This window comes from Homo sapiens, chromosome 6, assembly GCF_000001405.40.
Source record: "Homo sapiens chromosome 6, GRCh38.p14 Primary Assembly".
In the NCBI taxonomy this organism is placed as follows: domain Eukaryota; kingdom Metazoa; phylum Chordata; class Mammalia; order Primates; family Hominidae; genus Homo; species Homo sapiens.
In genome coordinates this window covers 96,968,792-96,995,138 of record NC_000006.12, presented here as the reverse complement: position 1 = coordinate 96,995,138, position 26,347 = coordinate 96,968,792, and the positions used below count along the sequence as shown (strand labels likewise).

General features: G+C 40.6%; 1 protein-coding gene across 15 annotated transcripts in view, besides 1 other annotated feature; it reads right to left on the bottom strand.

Moving 5' to 3' along the window:
- KLHL32 (kelch like family member 32) overlaps positions 1-26,347 on the bottom strand; it is a 242,671-nt gene that overhangs the window by 145,615 nt on the left and 70,709 nt on the right. For all 15 annotated transcript variants that reach the window (NR_136580.2, NR_104421.2, NM_001323258.2 and 12 more), the window contains one exon: positions 18,962-19,142. Coding sequence is in view for 12 of the 15 variants with exons in the window: in NM_001323258.2 (NP_001310187.1) it covers positions 18,962-19,142 (181 nt within the window). In the remaining 3 variants the exon portion in view is untranslated. The remainder of the gene's footprint in view (positions 1-18,961; positions 19,143-26,347) is intronic.
- Positions 2,859-3,358: an enhancer, noted in NCBI's record as "H3K4me1 hESC enhancer chr6:97439657-97440156 (GRCh37/hg19 assembly coordinates)". NCBI's record gives its function as "activates a minimal SCP1, AML or CMV promoter by ChIP-STARR-seq in primed H9 embryonic stem cells {active_cell/tissue: H9 hESC(primed)}" and the evidence as "EXISTENCE:reporter gene assay evidence [ECO:0000049][PMID:30033119]".

The following is a 26,347-nucleotide window of genomic DNA, read 5'->3' as shown; positions in this document are numbered from 1 at the left end:
CTTAAGTCTCTGTATCAACCCATCCAGAGAACTATGCTTGGTGATTATCAATGTATAGATGAAAAAACATAGGTTCACAGAAGTAACGGGATTTGGCTATGTTCATAGAATGGATAGTGAAGAAGATGAGTAACCCCACAAACATTTATTAAAATAGTGCCTACTATTTGCCAGGTAGTGTGGGAAACAATGGTGAACAGAACAGACAGATTAGGTCCCTGCTGCTAGATTCAAACTCAAATCTGACTCATAAGCTCATCCCTTTCTTCTTTCCACAACTACTTTGCACTTTGATGAAAGAAGTCCTGGTCTGACTGTTACAGCATCTGGCTAATGCTATGCTGTGCTCACACTGCTTAAATTAAGCCTAACATTTTTGTTATTTTTTAAAGCATTATTATCTGGCTGAAAAATGTGTTTTTTCACTTTCTTTTAAAATGGTGATGATCACAGGAACTCATAGTACTTTGCACGCAACTAATCATTCATTAATCATATTTTAAACAAGAAAAGCTGATATTAACTCACAGACCAATATAAAGGAAAAGATCCATCAAAGCTTCGGCCTTCTTACTCTTGCAGTCCCACCTTCCCTGAATCAGAACAACAATTACTTGAGCTTCAAAATAAACTGCCAAATATCAGAGTACAGAGCACAAAAATCTACTTTATACCAAAGTACTTAATTAACTTGAACATATCACACTAAAAGGAAAAAAAACATAAATAATTTGTATAGTTTTATTTTCCGGATATTAAGAATTGAAATATAAATGGAACTATAAAATATTAGAAAACATTTCTTCATTCCCTTAATAAATATTTATTGAGCCTTTATGAAACATGAGGCAACATTATGAGTATTGTGAGAGGCACAAATTACTAAGACAGGATACTCTTTCCAGATGTTTCAGTTTGATAGAGTATAAGACACAAGGAAAACAAATATTCTAGTTTAGGGCATGTGACTGTTGGGAGACAATTCTCCATGAGTTTCTTGCATTTTGGCATATATTGTGAATGAGACAACTGTTTTTTGTTCTGAACTTTCTTTTCAAGGATGTTTCTATAGCAAACAGCCTTGGAAGACAGAGTAGTATCTCCCTCCAGAGCAAGGGGTAGGTTTGTTTACAATCCTGGAAGATACAGTATCTCTATGTAGAGCAAAGGGTAGCATGCTTACTGTCCAGAATAATAATGTCTCTCTCCAGAGCAAAGGGTAGACATGTTTGCTACTCATTATAAAAGACTCCGGTTCCCTAACCTCAATGATATTCTCCCATAACACAACTCACTCACAAGCTGGCCCTCTTCATGTCATCCTGTGGGAATTGGGGCTCAGAAAAGAGGTGCAAAAATGCTGAGACTTGATTACTACTGCCATTATGAGGATAAACTCCTTTGTTTCTGATTAGGAGTCTTATGTCTTCTACCAGCATCTATAACAGTGTGGTAGCCTGACTAGTTAGCTTGCAAGTAGGGTAAAAATCTCAGAATTTTGATAGTTCCTGACAGGAGAAGGGTGCAACAATGGCAACAAAATGTTCCCCTACTTGTGTCTATGCCCTTTTGTACACCCTCTTAAAATGATTCTGATGATTCTGGACTTGGCCATCTGACTTGCTCGGCCAGCAGGGGGGACATTAGCAAACAAGACCCAAACAGAAGCTTGAGAAGCACTTGTGCCTTGAGGCTGGTCCTCTTGTGTTCTTAGGATTTAGTTGCCACGTGAAAATGCCTAGGCTAGTTTCTAAATACATGGCCCAGCTTCCCTTACCACCCCAACCAACAGCCTACCAATCACCAGCCATGTCAACAAGGCCAACTTAGATCACTAGCCTCCAATCAACCCTTTGATTAACCACTGATGCAAAAGCAAATCCAGTAGAGATCAGCTGAGCTGACAGACCAGAACAATTCAGCCTCTAGGTTTTCGGGTACTTTGTTATGCAGCAAAAGCTAACAGAAAATACTGAGTATAAGGAAAAAATTACTTCCAGTATGGTATCTATATTACAAGCTCCATAGGGCTCAGCCTATGTCTCTTAAATACCAAAACTCCAGCACTTAGCACTGCCCAGATAACAGTTAAGTGCCAACTGCTCCAACTTTATTCGGCTTTCTCCATCTGAACAATCAGTGCACAAGTCAGTGAATTTTCATCTTACAAGCAGCTTATGAGACTGAAGGAAATGCACATGAATCCAGCAGAGCACACAGCTTAAGTGGAAACGGCACAACTTGGTACTGAGGGAGACAGATGTGTGAAAATCAGCTCTTCTACTTTATATCTGGCAGTCCCTGGGCAAATTATTTAAACATATCGTAATTTAGTTCCCACACCTGCAAAATGCAAATAATGAAGTTTCTCCAGAGGCTTTATAATATAGGTATTACAAAGGAGGCACTCTTTGTGCATAACCTATTAGAGTATGAGGGGCATTGTGGTGGAAGAGTTGAGAAACTGGGAGTAGCAGCAAACACCGTTAAATGCCAACAAGTGAAATGGTCTCTTGCACTCACATGCGCGCACGTATTGATACGCTCTCCCCTCTCTCTCTCACACATACACAAATGTGCGAAATCAAATCATTTCCCAAAATGAAATTCAAAACCGGGATTCCAGCCAAGATGGCTGACTAGAAGCAGCTAGTGCGCATTGCTCTCAGAGAGAGAAGAGAGTAGTGAGTAAACATTAGCTCTTCAACTGGATTATCCAAGTGGACACTTTCATCAAGGAAGCAATACAATCCACACAGAAGTGAGAAGAGTGAGACAGGACAACTGCCCACCGGGGAGAGGCGAAGAGCCAGGGGAGGCCCCCCACAGCCAGGAAACGGTGAGTGAGTCAGTGAGAGTCCCTGGGGACCCACACTTCTGCCATGGACCTTTGCAACCCTGGGTCCCGGGAGCCATGGATCCCCTGGTACCGGACACCGGCAGCTGCATCTCTGGCAACAAGAGAGGTCAGGCTCCCGCACAGGCCCACCAGGATGGGGGCAAATCCACAGGGCTGAGCAGCAGATGGAGTGCACGCCTCACCTCCACTGCACCTCGCCAGACATGGCCCACTGGCCTGGGACTCTACTGCGGCCATCGCAGCCCTGCCTGAGCTCTCGGGTCGCAGGCAGGCCGCCATTTCTGCCGCTCGGAAGCCCTCGCTCTTGCTGCCCTCAGGCTGGGGAGGGAGCACAGTGATTAGGGACTATCATAGACCCCCAGCACAGCGCAGCCACCTTACCCGGAAAAGCGGCCTGTTTTCAATGCCGTCCCCCGCCCCTGCTACTCCTCACTGGGCAGGGCCTCTAGATCTGCGACCTTGGCCACTCCCTGCTAGGGCTCTCCGCGGTAGCAGCTCTGCACTTTCTTGGAAGGGATCTCCCGGAGGTAACAGGCAAGCTACTACTTTTGCTGCTCTGAAGCCCTCGCTCCTGTGGCTCTCCGGCTTGGGAAGGAACGCAGTGATCAGGCACTAAGGCAGAGCTGCCTTACAGAAAAGCGGCCAGTTTTCCACACAGGTCCCCACCCTGCTACCCCTCAATGGGCAGGATCTCTCCACCTGGGCGCCTAGCACAACCGCCCTGCCCTGGCCTGAACATGTCAGTTGGTGGCAGCTCTGTGTTTCTTTGGGGAGGAAATCCCCAGAGACAACCCATAGCCCCTCTGCCATTACAGCTGCGATGGGTACCACCCTTACTGCATTGGGGAAGGAACAAAGGGCCTGGTTGCTATGCTGACATCCCTAGCACACCCAGCCACCATACGGAGAGAAACCCAATGTCTCTTCTCTGTGAGCTCCCACCCTGTATTCTTCCCCAGGAAGGACCCTTCAGCTGGAATTGCAGAGCAGACACCCCACCCCCAGCTGAGCATTTCCACTGCTAGTGGCTCTAAGTTTCCCTGGGAGGGGCTCCCAGAGGCAACCAACAGACCCTCTGCCACCGCCAGTGCACTGGTCCTGCCCTTGCTGCCCTTGCATTGGGGAAGGAACAAAGAACCTGAGGGCTTCACCTGCACTCCCAGCACCAAAACCGCCATAAGGAGAGGAGCCCAGTCTCTCCTCCCCATGAGGCCTTGACCCCCTGCGCTTCACCAAGCAGGGCCAGTAGTGCAGTCACCACAAGCCCCGATTAAACATTCCCATTAGTAACGGGTCTGTGATTCTCTGTGGTGGAGCTCCTAGACAAAACCGAAAGCCCCTCTGCCACTGCCACTGCAGTGGTACTTCCCTTGCTGCCCTTGGACTAAGGAAGGAACAAAGACCTTAAGTGCTTTACCTACACCTCCAGAAACCACAGCCATCTTAAAGAGAAGAGGCCAGTCTAGCTCACCTATGAGCCTCCAATGCTCCCTGCTCATCACCAAGCAAGCCCCGCCCCCACCCCAGCTTGGGCCCATAACACAGCTGCCCAACTCTGGGCCAATCACACCAACTGGTAGCAGCTCCGTATTTCTCTGGGCTGGAGCCCCAAGAGACAAGTGAATGGCTCTCTGCTACAGCCACTGCCAAGGTCCCTCCCTCTGCTGCCTCCAAGTTGGAGAGGACACACAAAGCCTGAGCTCACCCCAGAGCTGCAGTGTGCACCCTGGGAGTGCCAATCCAAGATCTGCAGCCAGAAATTGACTGGGAGAAGAAACTACACTTTCAGAGCACTAAGAGGGAGCACAGCTGAAATCGAGAGGAAATACAGAGGAGCCACGTGGTTGAGCAAGAACTTACCATTATACTTAAGCACCATTTACTGGATCACAGCCCAAACTTCAACACCAAAAATACTTGCTAACATAACCCCCACCCCCATAAAAACAAGGACAAGAAATCAGCTGCAAATAAAGATCCTGCACAAAGCCTCAGCCCTTTGAAAACATCCAGAAAAGAGGCAACTGAATGTACTCAAATTGTAACTGTGAAAGGAACATCAGCACACAGAGATAAGAAAGAACTAGTACAAAAACTCTGGCAAGTCAAAAAGCCAGAGTGTCTTTTTCTCCAAACAACTGCACTAGTTCCCCAGCAAGTGTTCTTAACCAGGCTGAAATGGCTGAAATGACAGACAGAGAATTCAGAATATGGATGAGAATGAAGATCATCACAATTCAGGAGAAAGTTGAAACCCAATCCAAGGAATCCAAGGATTACAATAAAATTATATAAGAGCTGAAAGATGAAATGGCCATTATAAGAAAGAAACAAACTGATCTGATAGAGCTGACAAACAGTACAAGAATTTCATAATAATAATCGCACTTTTTTTTAACAGCAGAATAGACCAAGCTGAGGAGAGAATCTCAGAGCTTGAAGGCTGGTTTCTGAACTAATTCAGTCAGCCAAAAGTTTAAAAAATGAGTAAATCCTCCAAGAAATATTGGATTATGTAAAGAGACCACAGGTAAGACAAATTGGTATCCCTGGAAGAGAGGGGGGGAGAAAAAGCAACTTGGAAAACATATTTGAGGATATTATCCAGAAAAATTTCCCAAGTTTCATTAGAGAGGTGAACATTCAAATTCAGGAGATGTAGAGAATTTCTGCAAGATACTATACAAGACGACCATCCCCAAGACGCACAGTTGTCAGATTCTCCAAGGCTCACATGAAAGAAAAAAATATTAAAGGCAGCTAGAGATAAAGGGCAAATCACATATACAAACAGAAACCCATCAAGCTAACAGCATGCCTTTCAAAAGAAACCCTACAAGCCTGAAGAGATTGGGGCCTATATTCAGCATTCTTAAAGAAAAAAATTCCATCCAAGAAATTCATATCCAGCCAAACTCAGCTTCATAAGTGAAGGAGAAATAAAATCCTTTTCAGACAAGCAAATGCTAAGGGAATTCATTACCAACAGACCTGGCTTAACATAGGCACTTAAGGGAGTGCTAAATATGGAAATGAAACATCATTACCAGCTACCACAAAAACACTTATGTATATAGGCCACTGATACAATAAAGCAACCACACAATCAAGTCTGCATAATAACCAGCTAACAACACAATGAAAGGAAAATCCACACATGTCAATATTTTTTTTATTATACTTTAAATTTTAGGGTACATGTGCACAACGTGCAGGTTTGTTACATATGTATACATGTGCCATGCTGGTGTGCTGCACCCATTAACTTCTCATTTAACATTAGGTATATCTCCTAATGCTATCCCTCCTCCCTCCCCCAACCCCACAACAGGCCCCAGTGTGTGATGTTCCCCTTCCTGTCTCCATGTGTTCTCATTGTTCAATTCCCACCTGTGAGTGAGAACATGCGGTGTTTGGTTTTTTGTCCTTGCAACAGTTTGCTGAGAATGATGGTTTCCATCTTCATCCATGTCCCTACAAAGGACATGAACTCATCCTTTTTTATGGTTGCATAGTATTCCATGGTGTATATGTGCCACATTTTCTTAATCCAGTCTATCATTGTTGGACATTTGGGTTGGTTCCAAGTCTTTGCTATTGTGAATAGTGCTGCAATAAACATACGTGTGCATGTATCTTTATAGCAGCATGATTTATAATCCTTTGGGTATATACCCAGTAATGGGATGGCTGGGTCAAATGGTATTTCTAGTTCTAGATCCCTGAGGAATCGCCACACTGACTTCCACAATGGTTGAACTAGTTTACAGTCCCACCAACAGTGTAAAAGTGTTCCCATTTCTCCACATCCTCTCCAGCACCTGTTGTTTCCTGACTTTTTAATGATTGCCATTCTAACTGGTGTGAGATGGTATCTCACTGTGGTTTTGATTTGCATTTCTCTGATGGCCAGTGATGATGAGCATTTTTTCATGTGTCTTTTGGCTGCATAAATGTCTTCTTTTGAGAAGTGTCTGTTCATATCCTTCACCCACTTGTGGATGGGGTTGTTTGTTTTTTTCTTGTAGATTTGTTTGAGTTCATTGTAGATTCTGGATATTAGCCCTTTATCAGATGAGTAGATTGCACAAATTTTCTCCCATTCTGTAGGTTGCCTGTTCACTCTGATGGTAGTTTCTTTTGCTGTGCAGAAGCTCTTTAGTTTAATTAGATCCCATTTGTCTATTTTGGCTTTTGTTGCCATTGCTTTTGGTGTTTTAGACATGAAGTCCTTGCCCATGCCTATGTCCTGAATGGTATTGCCTAAGTTTTCTTCTAGGGTTTTTATGGTTTTAGGTCTAACATGTAAGTCTTTCATCCATCTTGAATTAATTTTTGTATAAGGTGTAAGGAAGGGATCCAGTTTCAGCTTTCTACATATGGCTAGCCAGTTTTCCCAGCACCATTTATTAAATAGGGAATCCTTTCCCCATTTCTTGTTTTTGTCAGGTTTGTCAAAGATCAGATGGTTGTAGATATGCCGCATTATTTCTGAGGGCTCTGTTCTGTTCCATTGGTCTATATCTCTGTTTTGGTACCAGTACCTTGCTGTTTTGGTTACTGTAGCCTTGCAGTATAGTTTGAAGTCAGGTAGCGTGATGCCTCCAGCTTTGTTCTTTTGGCTTAGGATTGTTTTGGCAATGCAGGCTCTGTTTTGGTTCCATATGAACTTTAAAGTAGTTTTTTCCAATTCTGTGAAGAAAGTCATTGGTAGCTTGATGGGGATGGCATTGAATCTATAAATTACTTCAGGCAGTATGGCCATTTTCATGATATTGATTCTTCCTACCCATAAGCATGGAATGTTCTTCCATTTGTTTGTATCCTCTTTTATTTCATTGAGCAGTGGTTTGCCAACGAGAACAAAGACACAACATACCAGAATCTCTGGGACACATTCAAAGCAGTGTGTAGAGGGAAATTTATACCACTAAATGCCCACAAGAGAAAGCAGGAGAGATCTAAAATTGACACCCTAACATCACAATTAAAAGAACTAGAGAAGCAAGAGCAAACACATTCAAAAGCTAGCAGAAGGCAAGAAATAAGTAAGATCAGAGCAGAACTGAAGGAAATAGAGACTCAAAAAACCCTTCAAAAAATCAATGAATCCAGGAGCTGGTTTTTTGAAAAGATCAACAAAATTGATAGACCGCTAGCAAGACTAATAAAGAAGAAAAGAGAGAAGAATGAAATAGATGCAATAAAAAATGATAAAGGGGATATCACCACTGATCCCATAGAAATACAAACTACTGGGGGGTGGAGCCAAGATGGCCGCATAGGAACAGCTCCAGTCTACAGCTCCCAGCGTGAGCGATGCAGAAGACAGGTGATTTCTGCATTTCCAACTGAGGTACTGGGTTCATCTCACTGGGGAGTGTCAGGAAGTGGGTGCAGGACAGTGGATGCAGTGCACCAAGCATGAGCTGAAGCAGGGCGAGGCATCGTCTCACCCAGGAAGTGCAAGGGGTCAGGGAATTCCCATTCCTAGTCAAAGAAAGGGGTGACAGATGGCACCTGGAAAATCGGGTCACTCCCACCCTAATACTGTGCTTTTCCAACGGTCTTAGCAAATGGCACACCAGGAGATTATATCCCGTGCATTGCTTGGAGGGTCCTACACCCACGAAGCCTCGCTCATTGCTAGCACAGCAGTGGGAGATCCAACTGCAAGGCAGCAGCCAGGCTGGGGGAGGGGCGCCCGCCATTGCCAAGGCTTGAGTAGGTAAACAAAGCAGCCAGGAAGCTCGAATTGGGTGGAGCCCACCACAGCTCAAGGAGGCCTGCCTGCCTCTGTAGACTCCACCTCTGGGGGCAGGGCACAGCCAAACAAAAGGCAGCAGAATCCTTTGCAGACTTAAATGTCCCTGTCTGACAGCCTTGACGAGAGTAGTGGTTCTCCCAGCATGCAGTTGGACATCTAAGAACGGACAGACTGCCTCCTCAAGTGGGTCCCTGACCCCTGAGTAGCCTAACTGGGAGGCCCCCCCCATTAGGGGCAGACTGACACCTCACACGGCCGGATACTCCTCTGAGACAAAAATTCCAGAGGAACGATCCGGCAGCAACATCTGCTGTTCACCAATATCTGCTGTTCTGCAGCCTCCACTGGTGATACCCAGGCAAACAGGGTCTGGAGTGGACCTCCAACAAACTCCAAAAGACCTGCAGCTGAGGGTCCTGACTGTTAGAAGGAAAACTAACAAACAGAAAAGACATCCACACCAAAACCCCATCTGTACGTCACCATCATCAAAGACCAAAGGTAGATAAATCCACAAAGATAGGGAAAAAACAGAGCAGAGAAGCTGGAAACTCTAAAAATCAGAGCACCTCTCCTCCTCCAAAGGACACAGCTCCTCACCAGCAATGGAACAAAGCTGGACGGAGAATGACTTTGACGAGTTGAGACAAGAAGGCTTCAGACAATCAAACTACTCTGAGCTAAAGGAGGAAGTTCGTACCCATGGCAAAGAAGTTAAAAACCTTGAAAAAAAATTAGATGAATGGCTAACTAGAATAACCAATTCTAGAGAAGTCCTTAAAGGACCTGATGGAACTGAAAACCAAGGCACGAGAACTACGTGACAAATGCACAAGCCTCAGTAGCTGATTCGATCAACTGGAAGAAAGGGTATCAGTGATGGAAGATGAAATGAATGAAATGAAGCAAGAAGAGAAGTTTAGAGAAAAAAGAATAAAAAGAAATGAACAAAGCCTCCAAGAAATATGGGACTATATGAAAAGACCAAATCTACGTCTGATTGGTATACTTGAAAGTGACGAAGAGAATGGAACCAAGTTGGAAAACACTCTGCAGGATATGATCTAGGAGAACTTCCCCAACCTAGCAAGGCAGGCCAACATTCACATTCAGGAAATACAGAGAATGCCACAAAGATACTCCTCGAGAAGAGCAACTCCAAGACACATAATTGTCAGATTCACCAAAGCTGAAATGAAGGAAAAAATGATAAGGGCAGCCAGAGAGAAAGACCAGGTTACCCACAAAGGGAAGCCCATCAGACTAACAGCTGATCTCTTGGCAGAAACTCTACAAGCCAGAAGAGAGTGGGGGCCAATATTCAACATTCTTAAAGAAAAGAATTTTCAACCCAGAATTTCATATCCAGCCAAACTAAGCTTCATAAGTGAAGGAGAAATAAAATCTGTTACAGACAAGCAAATACTGAGAGATTTTGTCACCACCAGGCCTGCCCTACAAGAGCTCCTGAAGGAAGCACTAAAATGGAAAGGAACAATTGGTACCAGCCACTGCAAAAACATGCCAAATTGTAAAGACCATCAAGGCTAGGAAGAAACTGCATCAACTAACGAGCAAAATAACCAGCTAAGATCATAATGACAGGATCAAATTCACACATAACAATATTAACCTTAAATGTAAATGGGCTAAATGCTCCAATTAAAAGACACAGACTGGCAAATTGGATAAAGAGTCAAGACCCATCACTGTACTGTATTCAGGAAACCCATCTCACGTGCAGAGACACACATAGGCTCAAAATAAAAGGATGGAGGAAGATCCACCAAGCAAATAGAAAACAAAAAAAGGCAGGGGTTGCAATCCTAGTCTCTGATAAAACAGACTTTAAACCAACAAAGATCAAAAGAGACAAGGCCATTACTTAATGGTAAAGGGATCAATGCAACAAGAAGAGCTAACTATCCTAAATATATATGCACCCAATACAGGAGCACCCAGATTCATAAAGCAAGTCCTTAGAGACCTATAAAGAGACTTAGACTCCCACACAATAATAATGGGAGACTCTAACATCCCACTATCAACATTAGACAGATCAATGAGACAGTTAACAAGGATATCCAGGAATTGAACTCAGCTCTGCACCAAGCGGACCTAATAGACATCTACAGAACTCTCCACCCCAAATCAACAGAATATACATTCTTCTCAGTGCCACACTGCACTTATTCCAAAATTGACCACTTAGTTGGAAGTAAAGCACTCCTCAGCAAATGTAAAAGAACAGAAATTATAACAAACTGTCTCTGAGACCACAGTGCAATCAAACTAGAACTCAGGATTAAGAAACTGACTCGAAACTGCTCAACTACATGGAAACTGAACAACCTGCTCCTGAATGACTACTGGGCATATAACGAAATGAAGGCAGAAATAAAGATGTGCTTTGAAACCAATGAGAACAAAGACACAACATATCAGGATCTCTGGGACGCATTCAAAGCAGTGTGTAGAGGGAAATTTATACCACTAAATGCCCACAAGAGAAAGCAGGAGAGATCTAAAATTGACACCCTAACATCACCATTAAAAGAACTAGAGAAGCAAGAGCAAACACATTCAAAAGCTAGCAGAAGGCAAGAAATAAGTAAGATCAGAGCAGAACTGAAGGAAATAGAGACACAAAGAACCCTTCAAAAAATCAATGAATCCAGGAGGTGGTTTCTTGAAAAGATCAACAAAATTGATAGACCGCTAGCAAGACTAATAAAGAAGAAAAGAAGAAGAATGAAATAGACGCAACAGAAAATGATAAAGGGATATCACCACCGATCCCACAGAAATACAAACTACCATCAGAGAACACTATAAACACCTCTATGCAAATAAACTAGAAAATCTAGAAGAAATGGATAAATTCCCCGACACATACACCCTCCCAAGACTAAATCAGGAAGAAGTTGAATCTCTGAATAGACCAATTAACAGGCTCTGAAATTGAGGCAACAATTAATAGCTTACCAACCAAATAAAGTCCAGCACCAGATGAATTCACAGCTGAATTCTACCAGAGGTATATGGAGGAGCTGGTACCATTCCTTCTAAAACTATTCCAATCAATAGAAAAAGAGGGAATCCTCCCTAACTCGTTTTATGAGGCCAGCATCATCCTGATACCAAAGCCTGGCAGAGACACAACAAAAAAAGAGAATTTTAGACCAATATCCTTGATGAACATCAATTCAAAAATCCTCAATAAAATACTGGCAATCCAAATCCAGCAGCACATCAAGAAGCTTATCCACCATGATCAAGTGGGCTTCATCCCTGGGATGCAAGGCTAGTTCAACATATGCAAATCAATAAACATAATCCAGCATATAAACAGAACCAATGACAAAAACCACATGATTATCTCAATAGATGCAGAAAAGACCTTTGAGAAAATTCAACAACGCTTCATGCTAAAAACTCTCAACAAATTAGGTATTGATGGGACGTATCTCAAAACAATAAGAGCTATCTATCACAAACCCACGGCCAATATCATACTGAATGGGCAAAAACTGGAAGCATTCCCTTGAAAACTGGCACAAGACAGGGATGCCCTCTCTCACCACTCCTATTGAACATAGTGTTGGAAGTTGTGGCCAGGGCAATCAGGCAGGAGAAGGAAATAAAGGGTAGTCAATTAGAAAAAGAGGAAGTCAAATTGTCCCTGTTTGCAGATGACATGATTGTATATCTAGAAAACCCCATCGTCTCAGCCCAAAATCTCCTTAAGCTGATAAGCAACTTCAGCAGCATCTCAGGATACAAAATCAATGTGCAAAAATCACAAGCATTCTTATGCACCAGTAACAGACAAACAGAGAACCAAATCATGAGTGAACTCCCATTCACAATTGCTTCAAAGAGAATAAAATACCTAGGAATCCAACTTACAAGGGATGTGAAGGACCTCTTCAAGGAGAACCACACATGTCAATATTAACCTCCAATGCAAATGAACTAAATGCCCCAATTAAAAGGCAGAGAGTGGCAAGTTTGATAAAGGAAAGACCCAATGATGTGCTGTCTTCAAGAGACCCATCTCACATGCAATGACCCCCAAAGGCTCAATGTAAAGGGATAAAGAAAAATCTACCAAGCAAACAGAAAATGGAAAAAAGCAGGGTTGCTCTTCTAATTTCAGACAAAACAGACTTTAAGGCAACACCAATAAAAGAAGACAAAGAAGGGCATTACCTAATGGTAAAGGGTCAATTCAACAAAAAGACATAACTATACTAAACATATATTCACGCAACACAGGAGCACTCAGATTAATAAACAGAATTCTTGGGGACCTATAAAGAGACTTAAATAACCACATAATAATACTGGGAGACTTCAACACCTCACTGATACTATTAGATAGATCATTGAGGCAGAGAACTAACCAAGATATTCAGGACCTGAACTCAACACTTGACTGAATGGGCCTAACAGATATCTACAGAACTCCTCATCCAAAAACAACAGAATATATATTTTTATCATATGCACATGGCACATACTCTGAAATTGATGACTCAATTAGCCATAAAACAATCCTCAGCAAATTAAAAAAAACTGACATTATACCGATCACACTCTCAGACCAAAGTGTAATAAAAATAGAAATCAATACTAGGAAAATCACTCAAAACTACACAAACACATGGAAATAAACAACTTGCTCCTGAATGATTTTCGGGTAAACAATGAAATTAAGGTAGAAGTCAAAAAATTATTTAAAAATAATGAGAACAAAGATACAACACATGAGCATCTCTGAGACAAAGCTAAAGCAGTGTTAAGAGAGGAGTTTACAGTACTAAATGCCCATATCAAAAAGTTAGAAAGATGTCACGTTAACAATCTAACATCACACCTAGAAAAACTAGAGAAACAAGAGCAAACCAATCACAAAGCTAACAAAAGACCAGAAATAACCAAAATCAATGCTGAACTGAAGGAAATTGAGATTCTAAAAATCATATAAAAGATCAATGGAACTAGGAGTTTGTTCTTCAAAAGAATAAATAAGATAAATAGACAGCAAACTAGACTAATAAAAGAAAGACAGAAAATCCAAATAAATGCAATCAGAAATGAAAAAGGGAATATTACTTCCAACTTCACAGAAATACAAAAAAAACCTCAAAGACTACAAACCTCTATGTGCACAAGATATAATTTAGTAGAAATGGATAAATTCATGGAAACATACAACCTCCCAAATTGAACCAGGAAAAAATTTGAATCCCTGTACAGACCAATAAGAAGTTCCAAAATTGAATCAGTAAGAAGAAGCCTACTGATATGGTTTGGCTTTATCCCCACCCAAATCTCATTTTGAACTGTAGCTTTCATAATCACCATGTGTCCTGGGAGGGACCTGGTGGGAGGTAATTGAATTATGGGGGCAGTTACCTCCATGCTGTTCCTGTGATAGTGAGTGAGTTCTCATGAGATCTAAGGGTTTTATGAGGGGCTTTTCCCCCGCCTGCCCCCCCGCCCCACCACTTTGCTCTGCACTTCTTGCTGCCACCATGTGAAGAATGACATGTTTGCTTCCCCTTCTGCCATGATTGTAAGTTTATTGAGGTCTCCCCAGCCCTGTAGAACTGTGAGTCAATTAAATCTCTTTCCTTTATAAATTACCCAGTCTCAGGTATGTCTTTATTAGCAGCATGAGAACGGACTAATATACCTATTAACCTGAACATGCCCAGGACCAAATGGATTCACAGCTGACTTCTACCAGATATATAAAAAAGAGCTGGTACAATTCCTACTAAAACTACTTTTACAAACTAAGGAAGAAAAACTCTTCTCTATGTCTTTCTATGGGACAAGTATCATCCTGATACCAAAACCTGGCAGAGACACAACAAAAAAAGAAAATTCAGGCCAGTATCCTTGATGAACATAAATGTAAAAATCCACAACAAAATACTAGCAAATCAAATCCAGAAGCACATCAAAAAGCTAATCCACCACAATCAAGTAGGCTTTATACTTGAAATATAAGGTTGGTTCACTATATGCAAATAAATAAATGTGATTCATCACATAAAGAAAACCAAAAACAAAAACCACATGATCATCTCAATAGATTTAGAAAAGGCTTTTGATAAAAATCAACTTCCCTTCATGTTAAAAGCCCTCAAAAAACTAGGCATTATATGACTATGCCTCAAACTAACAAGAGCCATCTATGACAAACCCACACCAACATCATACTGAATAGGTAAAAGCTGGAGCATTCCCTTTGAGAACTAGAACATGACAAGAATGGCTACCCTCAGCACTCCTATTCAACATAGTACTGGAAGTCCTAGCCAGAGTGATCAGGAAACAGAGAGAAATAAAAGGCATCCAAATAGGAGGAGAGGAATCAAACTATCCCTGTTTGCAGATGATGTGATTCCATACTTAGAACTCTCCACATAGTCTCTGCCCCATATCTCCTAAATCTGATAAACAACTTCAGCAAAGTTTCAGGATACAAAATCAATTGTACGAATATCAGTAGCATTTCTATACACCAACAACATCCAAGCTGAGAGCCAAATCAAGATTGCAATTTCATTCACAATAGTCACAAAAAGAATAAAATACCTAGGAAGACAGCCAACCGGAGAGGTAAAAGAGCTCTACAAAGAGAATTACAAAACACTTCTCATTGAAATTAGCGATGATACCAACAAGTGGAAAAATATTTCATGCTCATGGATAGGAAGAATCAATGTCGTGAAAATGGCCATACTGCCTAAAGCAATGTACACATTCAATGTTATTCCTATCAAACTACCAATGATGTTTTTCACAGAATTAGAAAAAACCTATTCTAAAATTCATATGGAACCATAAAAGAGCCCAAATAGCCAAAGCAATCCTAAGCAAAAAGAACAAAGCTGTAGTATTGTTTGTAGTATAGTTTGAAGTCACATTACCCAAGTTCAAACTATACTACAAGGCTACAATAACCAAAACAGCATGATACCAGTATAAAAACAGGCACATAGACAAATGGAACAGAATAGAGAGCCCAGAAATAAAGCTGCACACCTACAACCATCTGATCTTTGACAAAGTCAATGAAAACAAGCAATGGGAAAAGACCAAATTCAATAAGTGATGCTGAAATAACTGGCTAGCCATATGTCAAACATTGAAACTAGACCCTTTTCTTTCACCAGGTACAAAAATCAACTCAAGAGGGATTAAAGACTTAAATGTAAAACCTAAAATGATAAAAACCCTGGAAGATAATCTAGGAAATACCATTCTGGACATAGGTCCTGACAAATATGTCATGACAAAGACACCAAAAGCAATTCCAACAAAACCAAAAATTGACAAATGGGACCTAATTAAACTAAAGAGCTTATGGACAGCAACAGAAACTATCAACAAACACACCCCACAAAATGGGGAAAATATTTTGCAAACTATGCATCTGACAAAGATCTACTATCCAGAATCTATAAAGAAGTTAAACAAATTAGCAAGCAAAAAATAAACAACACCATAAAAAAAGGGGGCAAAAGACATGAACAGACACATTTCAAAAAAAGACATACATGCAGCCAACAAGCATATAAAAAAAGTGCTCAACATTACTAATCATTAGAGAAATGCAACTCAAAACCACAATGAGATACTATCTCACACCAGTCAGAATGACTATGATTAAAAAGTAAAAAAATAGCAGATGATGGAGAGGTTGCAGAGAAAAGAGAATGCTGATACACTGCTGGTGGCAATGCAAATTAGTTCAGTCATTGTGGAAAGCCGTTTGGCAATTTCTCAAAGAACTTAAAACAGTATTACCATTTAACCCAGCAATCCCATTACTGGGTATAGACCTAAAGTATTACAAATCATTCTACCATAAAGACACCTGCATGTGTATGTTCACTGTAGCGCTATTCACAATAGCAAAGACATGGAATCAACTTAAATGACCATCAGTGGTAGACAGGATAAAGAAAATGTGGTATGTATATATTGTGGAATACTACACAGTCATAAAAAAGAATGAGATCATGTCCTTTGCAGCAACATGGATGGAGCTGGAGGCCATTATTCTAAGCTAACTAACATGGGAACAGAAAACCAAACACCACATATTCTCACTTATAAGTGAGAGCTAAACACGGAGAATACTTGGATGCAAAGAAGGGAACAACAGACACTGGGGCCTACTTAATGGTGGAGGTTGGGGGAAGGGAGAAAATTGAAAAACTAGCTATTGAGTATTATGCTTATTACCTGGGTGATGAAATAATCTGTACACCAAACCCTCATGAAACATAATTTACTGACATAACAAACCTGCAGATGTACCCTTGAACCTAAAATAAAAGTTCAAAAAAAAATCCAATACTGAAATGCTGAAACCTAAGTAGAGAGAAGTTAACACCAAGAAGGCTATATTACGGTCCATTAAAAGACAAAATTCCTATTCCATAATCTGCATACAATCTGAAGTGTTTTGCTGATCCAAAAGCCCCTCTGAATAATATGACCTTTCTGAAAGAAGAATACCTGACAATGTGAGTGAGGGTGTGTGAAATGTATAATTATATTAATGGAACTAAAAGGCCACTTTACAGATACTCTGTATCATCTTTGTAGTTTAGAATTAAATCCCTACTTTTTATTTCAGAAACAGACATTTCAAGTAATTACCTCTTTATCTTCTACATTACTCAGTTTCATCACATTTAATACGCTTTTTAAAAAAGGCTGTCTTCTATGCTTTGGCATCTTTGAAAAATCTCTGTGACTGCTACTTGGCAATTAAGTGCAGTTGATATTGTCTCTTAAATAACAAAACCAACAGTATTATTAGAAATATTCAAACCAATCAACAAATTGCTCATGGGCCTAAGTTGGTGTCTGTAACATTTAGGCTTTACTGGGGGAAATTAAAAAAACAACACAACACAATTAAATTGTTTATATTCCCATTTATATGGAGATTCATACCATTATGTTCCAAAAGTATTAGTCACTTGTTAACTGAAAAAACATTGAAAAGAAAATTAAATAGGCATTGAAATAATGTATATTTAGAAATTAATGTTTCAAAACATTCTGGCTAATAATTGTCCAGGTTTGCTATTTTATGTCCATATATGAAGCAGACTATCACACTCGTTAAGAGTCAAACATAGATTTCGATTCCAGATCTGCCATTTAGGAACTGTGTGACTTCTTACTGATCCTGAGTTAGTGCAAATTACTTAGTCTTTGTTATTGTTTCCATATATGCAAAATGGTCATTTTAATAATATGTATATATATGTGCACAATGGGTTGTTGTGAGGATCAAATGAGATATGCATATAAAATCCTTTGCTCACCATGTGAATCACAAGAAGTGCTAATAAGTGGCATTTAATCAGCTATCACTATATTATGTACTTTCATCTTCAAGAAAAACAGCAATCTTATTACCACATGTAATTTGCTGTTGGAAATCAACCCCAAAGCTCTGGTAAACAAGATGTGTCTTCATTAGCCGCATGCATGTACTGACCATGAAGGTCCATTAGGCCTATGAATCTCTGTCCTTGGAGCAAATAATTAGAAAGCATTAAGAGTATATATAGGCTGGCCGCGGTGGTGTGTGTCTGTAATCCCAGCACTTTGGGAGGCCGAGGCGGGCAGATTACTTGAGGTCAGGAGTTCGAGACCAACCTGGCCAACTTGGTGAGACCCCGTCTCTACTAAAACTACAAAAATTAGCCAGGTGTGGTGGCATGTCCCTGTAATCCCAGCTACTCAGGAGGCTAAGGCAGGAGAATCACTTGAACCCAGGAAGCAGAGGTTGCAGTGAGCCAAGATTGCGCCATTGGCACTCCAGCCTGGGTGAAAGAGCGAGACTTTGTCTCAAAAACAAACAAAACAAAACAAAACAAAAATATATATATATATCCGAAACAATACATATACTTAAAGACTTTTAAATTTTAACAAATTGTCTTATAGCTTGGTCTTTGATCCTGAATCCAGAAGCATCCTCTCACTCCAGTCTGCACCCCCACATGAAGCACTACAGTGCCACATTTTCCCATGGTGGTAAAGTGCCAAGCACTCCTTGGCTCAGATGCCAAGGGAGGTCTGTTCTACATTGGAGGGACATCCAGGTGCCCTGCCCAGAGAGGACCCAATGGGGCCCCAGGAAGCATTCTACCCAGGAAAGAACAAAGGCCCCCACCATTCAGCTCTGGGGGTACCACCTAATTGGCTCCTGGTTTAGTGACAGTTTGGGAAACATTGTCATCCTCTCTTTATCAATATTTTACGAGAAACAAACAATGCTGACTTACCCGGAAATAGTCACTGCATGCTGCTAGGACTGCCTTGTGAGCATGGAATTTCTGTTCCTCAGCAATCAGGGTGATGTCGCAGAGGATGCCATCACTCCTCTGCTGATTCAGCGCTGCCAGGACACTGTCATTGTGAGATTCGGAGTGGCAGAGCCTCTGGCCTGTCAGCATTTCTTGAATACTACAAAGGAGAGCAATCAAGTCAACATTTTTCCTTTTCCCAGCCCTGTGGGCCAGCTGCTCTCTCATTCCTTGAACATCGACTGAGGCAACACGGGTTCCAGTGCACTCTATGAGTGTGACCATCTGTTCCCTCATTTTCTTTCTCTCCACCATTCTCTTGTTCTCCCTTTTTCTTATTCTCTCTGCTTCCCTCCCTGCAGGGTCTTTCTCTCTTTTACTGGTGCATCTCTTTCTGCATTTGTGTTTGTGTGTGTTCATCTGTGGCTGCATACTGACCCAGGTGTCTGGACCTGCAAGCCTCTGTTTCTGGGTCCCGTCCCTTCAGTGTGTGAACATCTCTGAGTGCAAAACTTCCTCTGGATGTGCATCTGGGCATGTGTATATGTGTGTGTGACCCTTCCCACTCTGTCCCCTCTCTCTAATTCCCTGATTCCTTCCCCACCTTTGTACCTTACCATGTCTCCCACAGGACACAAGACTCTGTTAACACATACAAGAAAACTGAGCAAATGTTAGGACAAAAAGGGCTGCAAATGACCATTCCATGTAAAAGGCAATTAAACCAGAGAAGCTTATTATTAAACTTCGGAAATTGTGCACCATAAGAACATCAAAAGGAATGCATTGTAAATGAAAACAAATTTAAAGCTGAAAGTAAAATTTATCTATTATCAGCATTTAGTTTCTATGTGTGATCATTATACTGGATTTATGAATGACTATATAATTTTCTTTTTGTTCTACTTTGTGAGATTGCTAACCTCACACATTGTGAAACTTACCCCTTCACTCTCTACCCCAACCTAAAACATTTATCCTTATGTCCTTTCAAAAGTCCTAGGTGAAGCTCTAGATCATTCTACAATAATACAGAAGTAATGCCATAAACACAAAATGCAAACTTTCACTTTACAGACAGCTATGGACATTTCCAGCTTATATCAACGGGAATCTATACAGTGCTCTAAAATCTCAGAACTGGTATTGGACTAAGACAGGTGATCTGCCAGGAATAGGTTACTCCCAGAGTGAAAGCAAGAGCCATCAAGCCCTGATTCTGGCCAGCAGATCCATCTCAAAGCTGAGTAAAAATACCGTTGGGATGATTAAGCTGTGTCTCTCCCATGTTGGTAATTCCTGTATCCAACCCCTCCCTCTGAATGTGAAAGAGTTTCTCAGGGGAGCCAGAGTTGCCACCAGCCTAGTTTGCATGGTGGGTTTATTTGGCAGGGCTCTGCTCAGCCTGTGGTGCCAGTTGGCTGGTAAATTACAGTTAGGTACAAATCACCATCTTAAAATTAACCAAATACTTCCTGTGAAATGCCAGAAGGCAGTCATTAAGCTTTATTGGACAGTTTTGACTGGGAAGCATCAGAATGTCAGAAATATGGAAAGAAAAAACTTGACAGACGGTGATGATATAGGAAGTTCCTGTGGGAAGGTGGGAGGATTATTTTCAGTTGAAATGTAGCAGTGAGTTTTGAAATGGTTACTGTCACTGAATATTCATCTAGTAGCTCAAGCTATAGGCAGACTTTAAAATCAGTAATTAAAAACCACATTCAGAAGCATAAATAATTTTTTGCAAGTTTCTATGCAAAGTCTAGAATGGAGATTAATTAGCATCACTCAATTAATTAGCATCTCAAATCAAGAAATGGAATAGTAATAGAAACATTGTATCAGCCAAGTAAAGCTTTAGGATAGTCTTTGAAAAATCTTTCCTAAAAGGATGACTTTTTAATATATTTGAGAAACACATAGTGCTTACCGTGTCCCATGAACTATTCTCAGTGATTTACAATGACTAGTTCATGTAATCTGCACAACAACACCATGAGGCAGGTACTATTATTATCTCTATTTTACAGATAGAAAAACTGAAGGTCCAAGATCCGGTATTTTGAGAACCTATCACCAAGAATATAACAATGTAATTCCTCCTCCTGCTTAAAGGAAAAAAAAAGAGAAGAAGTCAGGTACGGTGGCTCATGCCTGTAATCCCAGTACTTTGGCAGGCTGAGGCAGGTGGATCACTTGAGGTCAGGAGTTCAAGACCAGCCTGGCCAATATGGTGAAACCCCATCTGTACTAAAAATACAAAAATTAGCCAGGCATGGTGGCGCGCACCTTAATCCCAGCGACTCAGGAGGCTGAGGCAGGAGAATTGCTTGAACCCAGTAGGTGGAGGTTGCAGTAAGCTGAGATCATGCCACTGCACTCCAGCCTGGGCAACAGAGCGAGACTCTGTCTAAAAAAAAAAAGGCAATCTGTAAAGATCTCAAAAATCTATGCTTAAGGGGAAAAAACCATGTAAGTCCCTATTAACTTTATATTATGTATAATGAATCTCAAAATCAGCCTTTTAGAATAATATACATGAACAGAACAACATGACACAGCAGTAAGAAATGTTTGAAATTTTTCTTCAAAAACATTTATCTTCATACTGTGACTGAAAGTTTTGGGATGGAAAATAGATTCTAATCATTATAACCTTAGAAAATATATTTGAAACTTTCACAACTTACTTTCTCCACTTTTATATCACCTTAAATGTTAAATAAATGTATTTCAAAATTTCATTTGTAGTGGAACCGAAGAATATATTAAGATAATTGCCTTAAAAAGTTTTCCAAATATAGTGCCACAATTCCTGTCCTTATTATTAAGACTGAATCGGTATTTGCATTTTATATGTCTCTTGAGAGTGAATAAATCTTACCAGAAACAGAGCAGCTGTAAACTGAAATTTGGCAAAGAATAAAAGCCTCAGCTTTTAAACAATAGTGATGCTGCACAATTTCACAGGATCATTCAGCTGGGCTTGAAAATTCAAGCTTCAAGAAAACAACAAGCTAAATATTTAAGACAACAGTTGGCACAAGATCCCAAATATTTTGGAACCAATATGTTAGGGATCCTTAAAAGCAGAAACAAATACTCCAACATTTGGCAAGAAATAAAGGCCTCTTAATCAACAAATCATTATTGTATTCTGAAAGTAACTTCCCACTCAACTCTTGGATGTAAATTTGTAAAACATCTCAACCCTCTAAATGTTAAGGCACACGTGGCCACAGAACATAGCTGGAAGGGAGCACGCCCACTTCACCAAGTCAATAGTCATAAACCAGGGAGGAGATAAATCGAAGACTGTAATGCACTATGTCTAAATTAAAATGGGGAGCAGACACATGCTTGCAAACAGCTCCCTCAGCATCTAGAACATATATCAAATTAGCAAACTAAGCCTCTCAACTTAGAGCAATGTCCCTCAATTTTTTGAGAAATAAAGGAAGGAAAAGTATATCCTAAAACTTCTAAATTTCTGGAAAAAAGACTGAAAGCAAGAACCATATTTCTCAAGGAAACACAGATTTGAGTGTCATCCTAAAACTGGAAAAGGTCTCCCACAGAAGCCATGTTGCCACCTCAAAATTCATCAGTGAGTGCAGACAGTGTCCTGGCTTCCCCAATGCAACCTCTTTCTCTGAGGGATGCCCTAGAACTGCATCAATACAAAAGAGTATATGCTATATTAATACCATAGTAACACTCTATTGTATTGTGTTGTATCAATACAATAGTAATACTCTATTGTAGGGATACACCTATACAGTAGACACTAACCACACATGGTCACTGAGCACTTGAAATATGGCCAGTCCAAATTGAGATGTACCATACATATAAAATGCACAATGAATGTCAAAGACAATATGAATAAAAGAAAGCAAAATAGCTCAATATTTCTGTACTGATTACATGTTTAAATTATAATATTTAGGGTATGTTGGGTTAAATAAAATATATTGTTAAAATTAATTTTACCTTTTTTAGGGCTGGGCATCATGACTCACACCTGTAATACCAGCACTTTGGGAGGCCAAAGTGGGCGGATCATCTGAGGTCAGGAGTTCAAGACCAGCCTGGCCAACATGGTGAAACCCCGTCTCTACTAAAAATACAAAAATTAGCCAGGTGTGGTGGCGCATGCCTGTATCCCAGCTACTCAGGAGGCTAAGGCAGGAGAATTACTTGAACCCGGGAAGCAGAGGTTGCAGTGAGCCGAGATCACGCCACTGCACTCCAGCCTGGGCAACAAGAGTGAAACTCTGTCTCAACAACAGAAAAAAAATTTTTTTTTACCCTTTTTAATATAGCTACCTGAAATTTTAAATTATAGATATGCTTCTCATTATGGTTCTATTGGATACTCTATGAGTTCCCAGGGATATATGTCCCTCTGTTTTTTTCCACCTGAACACTGTAACGGCTTTAGGCAACCCCCGTCAGGCTGCCTGTGCGAACTGCTGTCCCTGTATTTCACAGGACCCCACATAGGCCCTCATGCAACAATGGAAAGCCCCAGACTCCCTGAACAGTAAGATGACCTTTTAGTAATGCCAGGGAGCAACCATTTGATCAGCCATATGTCAGTATCTAGTAATGGGGAAATAAATAAACGAGGTCTCAGGAAAGAGGATTATTCATAACTTTAAGCCTTTAACTTTCATTCTGGAATTGATCACAAAAACTAATAAATCAAATGCAGAGAACGATGTTCATTATATCATATTCCCTACTCAGACTGAATCACTGCTTTAGTGCAAATTGCTGCTCTGAGGTCACAGAGTTCACATTTTTGGTCACAGAAATCCTATAGGGTTTGATGTTCATGGAAAGAATTTTGACTAAGTTCTGTCAGTTTTAAAGTTGTAAATTCCGAAAACAGCTATATGGTTTTAAACATCTGCATTTCAAATTTTAAAATTCAAGTCAATTTCTATGTCAGTGTTTACCTACAACCTGGATATATAAAAAATATGCAGTAGTTTTTAAGTAAGACTACCAATAAGGTGTTACATACTTACATATTAAAAACAACTAAGTGGGATAAAGATTCTCATTTCTTAACTAGGCTACTTTACACAAGAAAGAAAAAGGCTGGACAAAAAAAAATCTAACAGTAATAATTATGCATAATTATCTCAATTCAGTCTATTGGTGAACTATCAAGTGAGCATCTTAAATCACTTAAATTATGTAGTCAAAATCTTTTCATGAAAATTAAAGACATTAATATTTTAAAAATTATATTTAAGGTAGCAGGATATTAAAAGACCCTATAATAAAATAATTTCATTTCTATAGAACACTTTATAATTTATAAACACTTTAAAATGAACTTGATCAACTAATAGCAATGGTCATAGTAATAAGCAAAGAAGATACAGTATGCTTAGACAATTATTAAATAATGAAAACTCTGTAGAAAGGAACTTAATTATGAATGAATAGTTTTGTTTCCTTCCTTCCCTCATTCATTTACCCCACAAATATTTATTAAGCCTGTGCCAGGTGTTGTGCTGGGTACTGGGGATAAAATGGTGAGCAAACCATATGTGGTAGCAGCCCTCATGGAACATTCAGTGTAGTAGGGCAGTTACACATTAATCAAATAATCTGGCCTCCCTAAAGAAATAATACTTGAGCTGCTGGCTGAAGGATGAGAACAAGTTAATCTTTTAAAAGTGAAAGAGAAGGTTTTCCAGGCAGGAGAACAGCAAATGCTACGATCCTGTGGCAGGAGGGAGCATGGCCCTTATAGAGTGTCTACAGAAAGTTAACAGCTAGGGACAAAGGAGAACACGGTGCAGGTAAGGCCCGAGCAGCAGAGGCCTGAGCCCACTTGTGCAGGAATTCTGGGCCAGGTTATCCTAAGGGCAATGGGAAGTCACAGAAAAGGTCATTCAAGCTGTAGTACCAAGAGCAGTAGGGGAGACTGGGCCAGACTAGAGCAGACCTGGACTGTGGCTGTGGTTCAGCTGAATGATGGAGTTGGGCCTTGGAGCCCAAGGAGCACTCAGATGAAGTTTCAGAAAGGTGAATGGGATTAAAAGCTATTTAGTGGGAAAATCTACAGGTCTTGGTGTTAGATTACATATGGAGGTGAGTGGGAGGAAGATTTCCAGAAGACACCTATATTTCTGGCTTATACAACTTGATATTTCCAGAACAGGAAACAAATGAAAGAGAATCAGAATTGTAGAAGAGAATGATGATGAATTTGGTTTGGGACATGTTAAGTTTGAGTTGTCTTTAAGACATCCAAGCACAAATGTCAAATATGTAGTTTGATTCCTGGATCTGGAACTCAGAAAGGAGTCTTTGCTAGAAATGTAAATCTGAGACTCATCTGCATAGAGAAGGTGACAACACAGCTGTATCTCAAGAACATGGCTGAGAAACAAGCAACACTCAAAGGTTGCTGAGAAGATATGAAAGATAAGTTTGAAGCACAGAGGCAGGTTTTGGCCTAGTTGTGGGAAAGGATTGCCTCTTGAGTGGCAGGGAATCAGTGGACCAGAATCACATACTAAAACTCTGGGCACTTTTTGGCTTGTTGAATCTGAAGATTTTTGTGGAACTAGTCTCCACTAGACAACGTAGGCATGGAAATATGAATAGATCGGTTCATCTGGATTGGGGTTTTCTCAAGCAAATGCATCAAAAATACAGGAAATGAGAGAACTTAAGGGTTTAGCAACAGTGATAGAATCTAAACTGCTTAAGAAGGAAAATGAGGAAAGGAAAGACTGGATGGGTTGGTAGAAAGTAGCAGGGCCAGAAAATGAGACATTACAATGAGGTCAAAGTACAACCATATTTTGAAAAAGGAGAGGAGGCTGTGGTAAGAGTAAAATGGCTGATAGCGTGATTTCAGAAACAGAGCAATTACTAAGGATAACAAGGTCTGAGGTGTGGCCATGAAACTGAGTGGCTGAGTGCAGGGAGATGGTCTTTGGAGATAAGCAGATTGAGGGTCCAAGGACCATGAAGCAGACATATCCTCCAGGCTGACATGAGGGCCCTGGGGGTGTAGTAAGGGGTTTGTGATGAGGAGGAAGACTGCAAGCCAAGTGCCGAAATGCTCAGTGAATAAAGGACAATGACCCCGACTACAGTTAGGAAGAGGAGAGAGATAAAGGGCATCATCTTCAGAAGAGCATGTCTTTGTTGTTTTTGTGGCTGTGGCTTTCTCAAACAATCAATTTGTGGAGTAATGGTCTAGAAGCAAAACCATGCCCTAGGAGGATGACACTCTCTCTACCCATCCTTGAAATACATGGGATGTGAGGAAATAATAATGCCACTACTTTGAGAGGGCTACAAGGGAAATGGTCCTCAGAGGAGGAT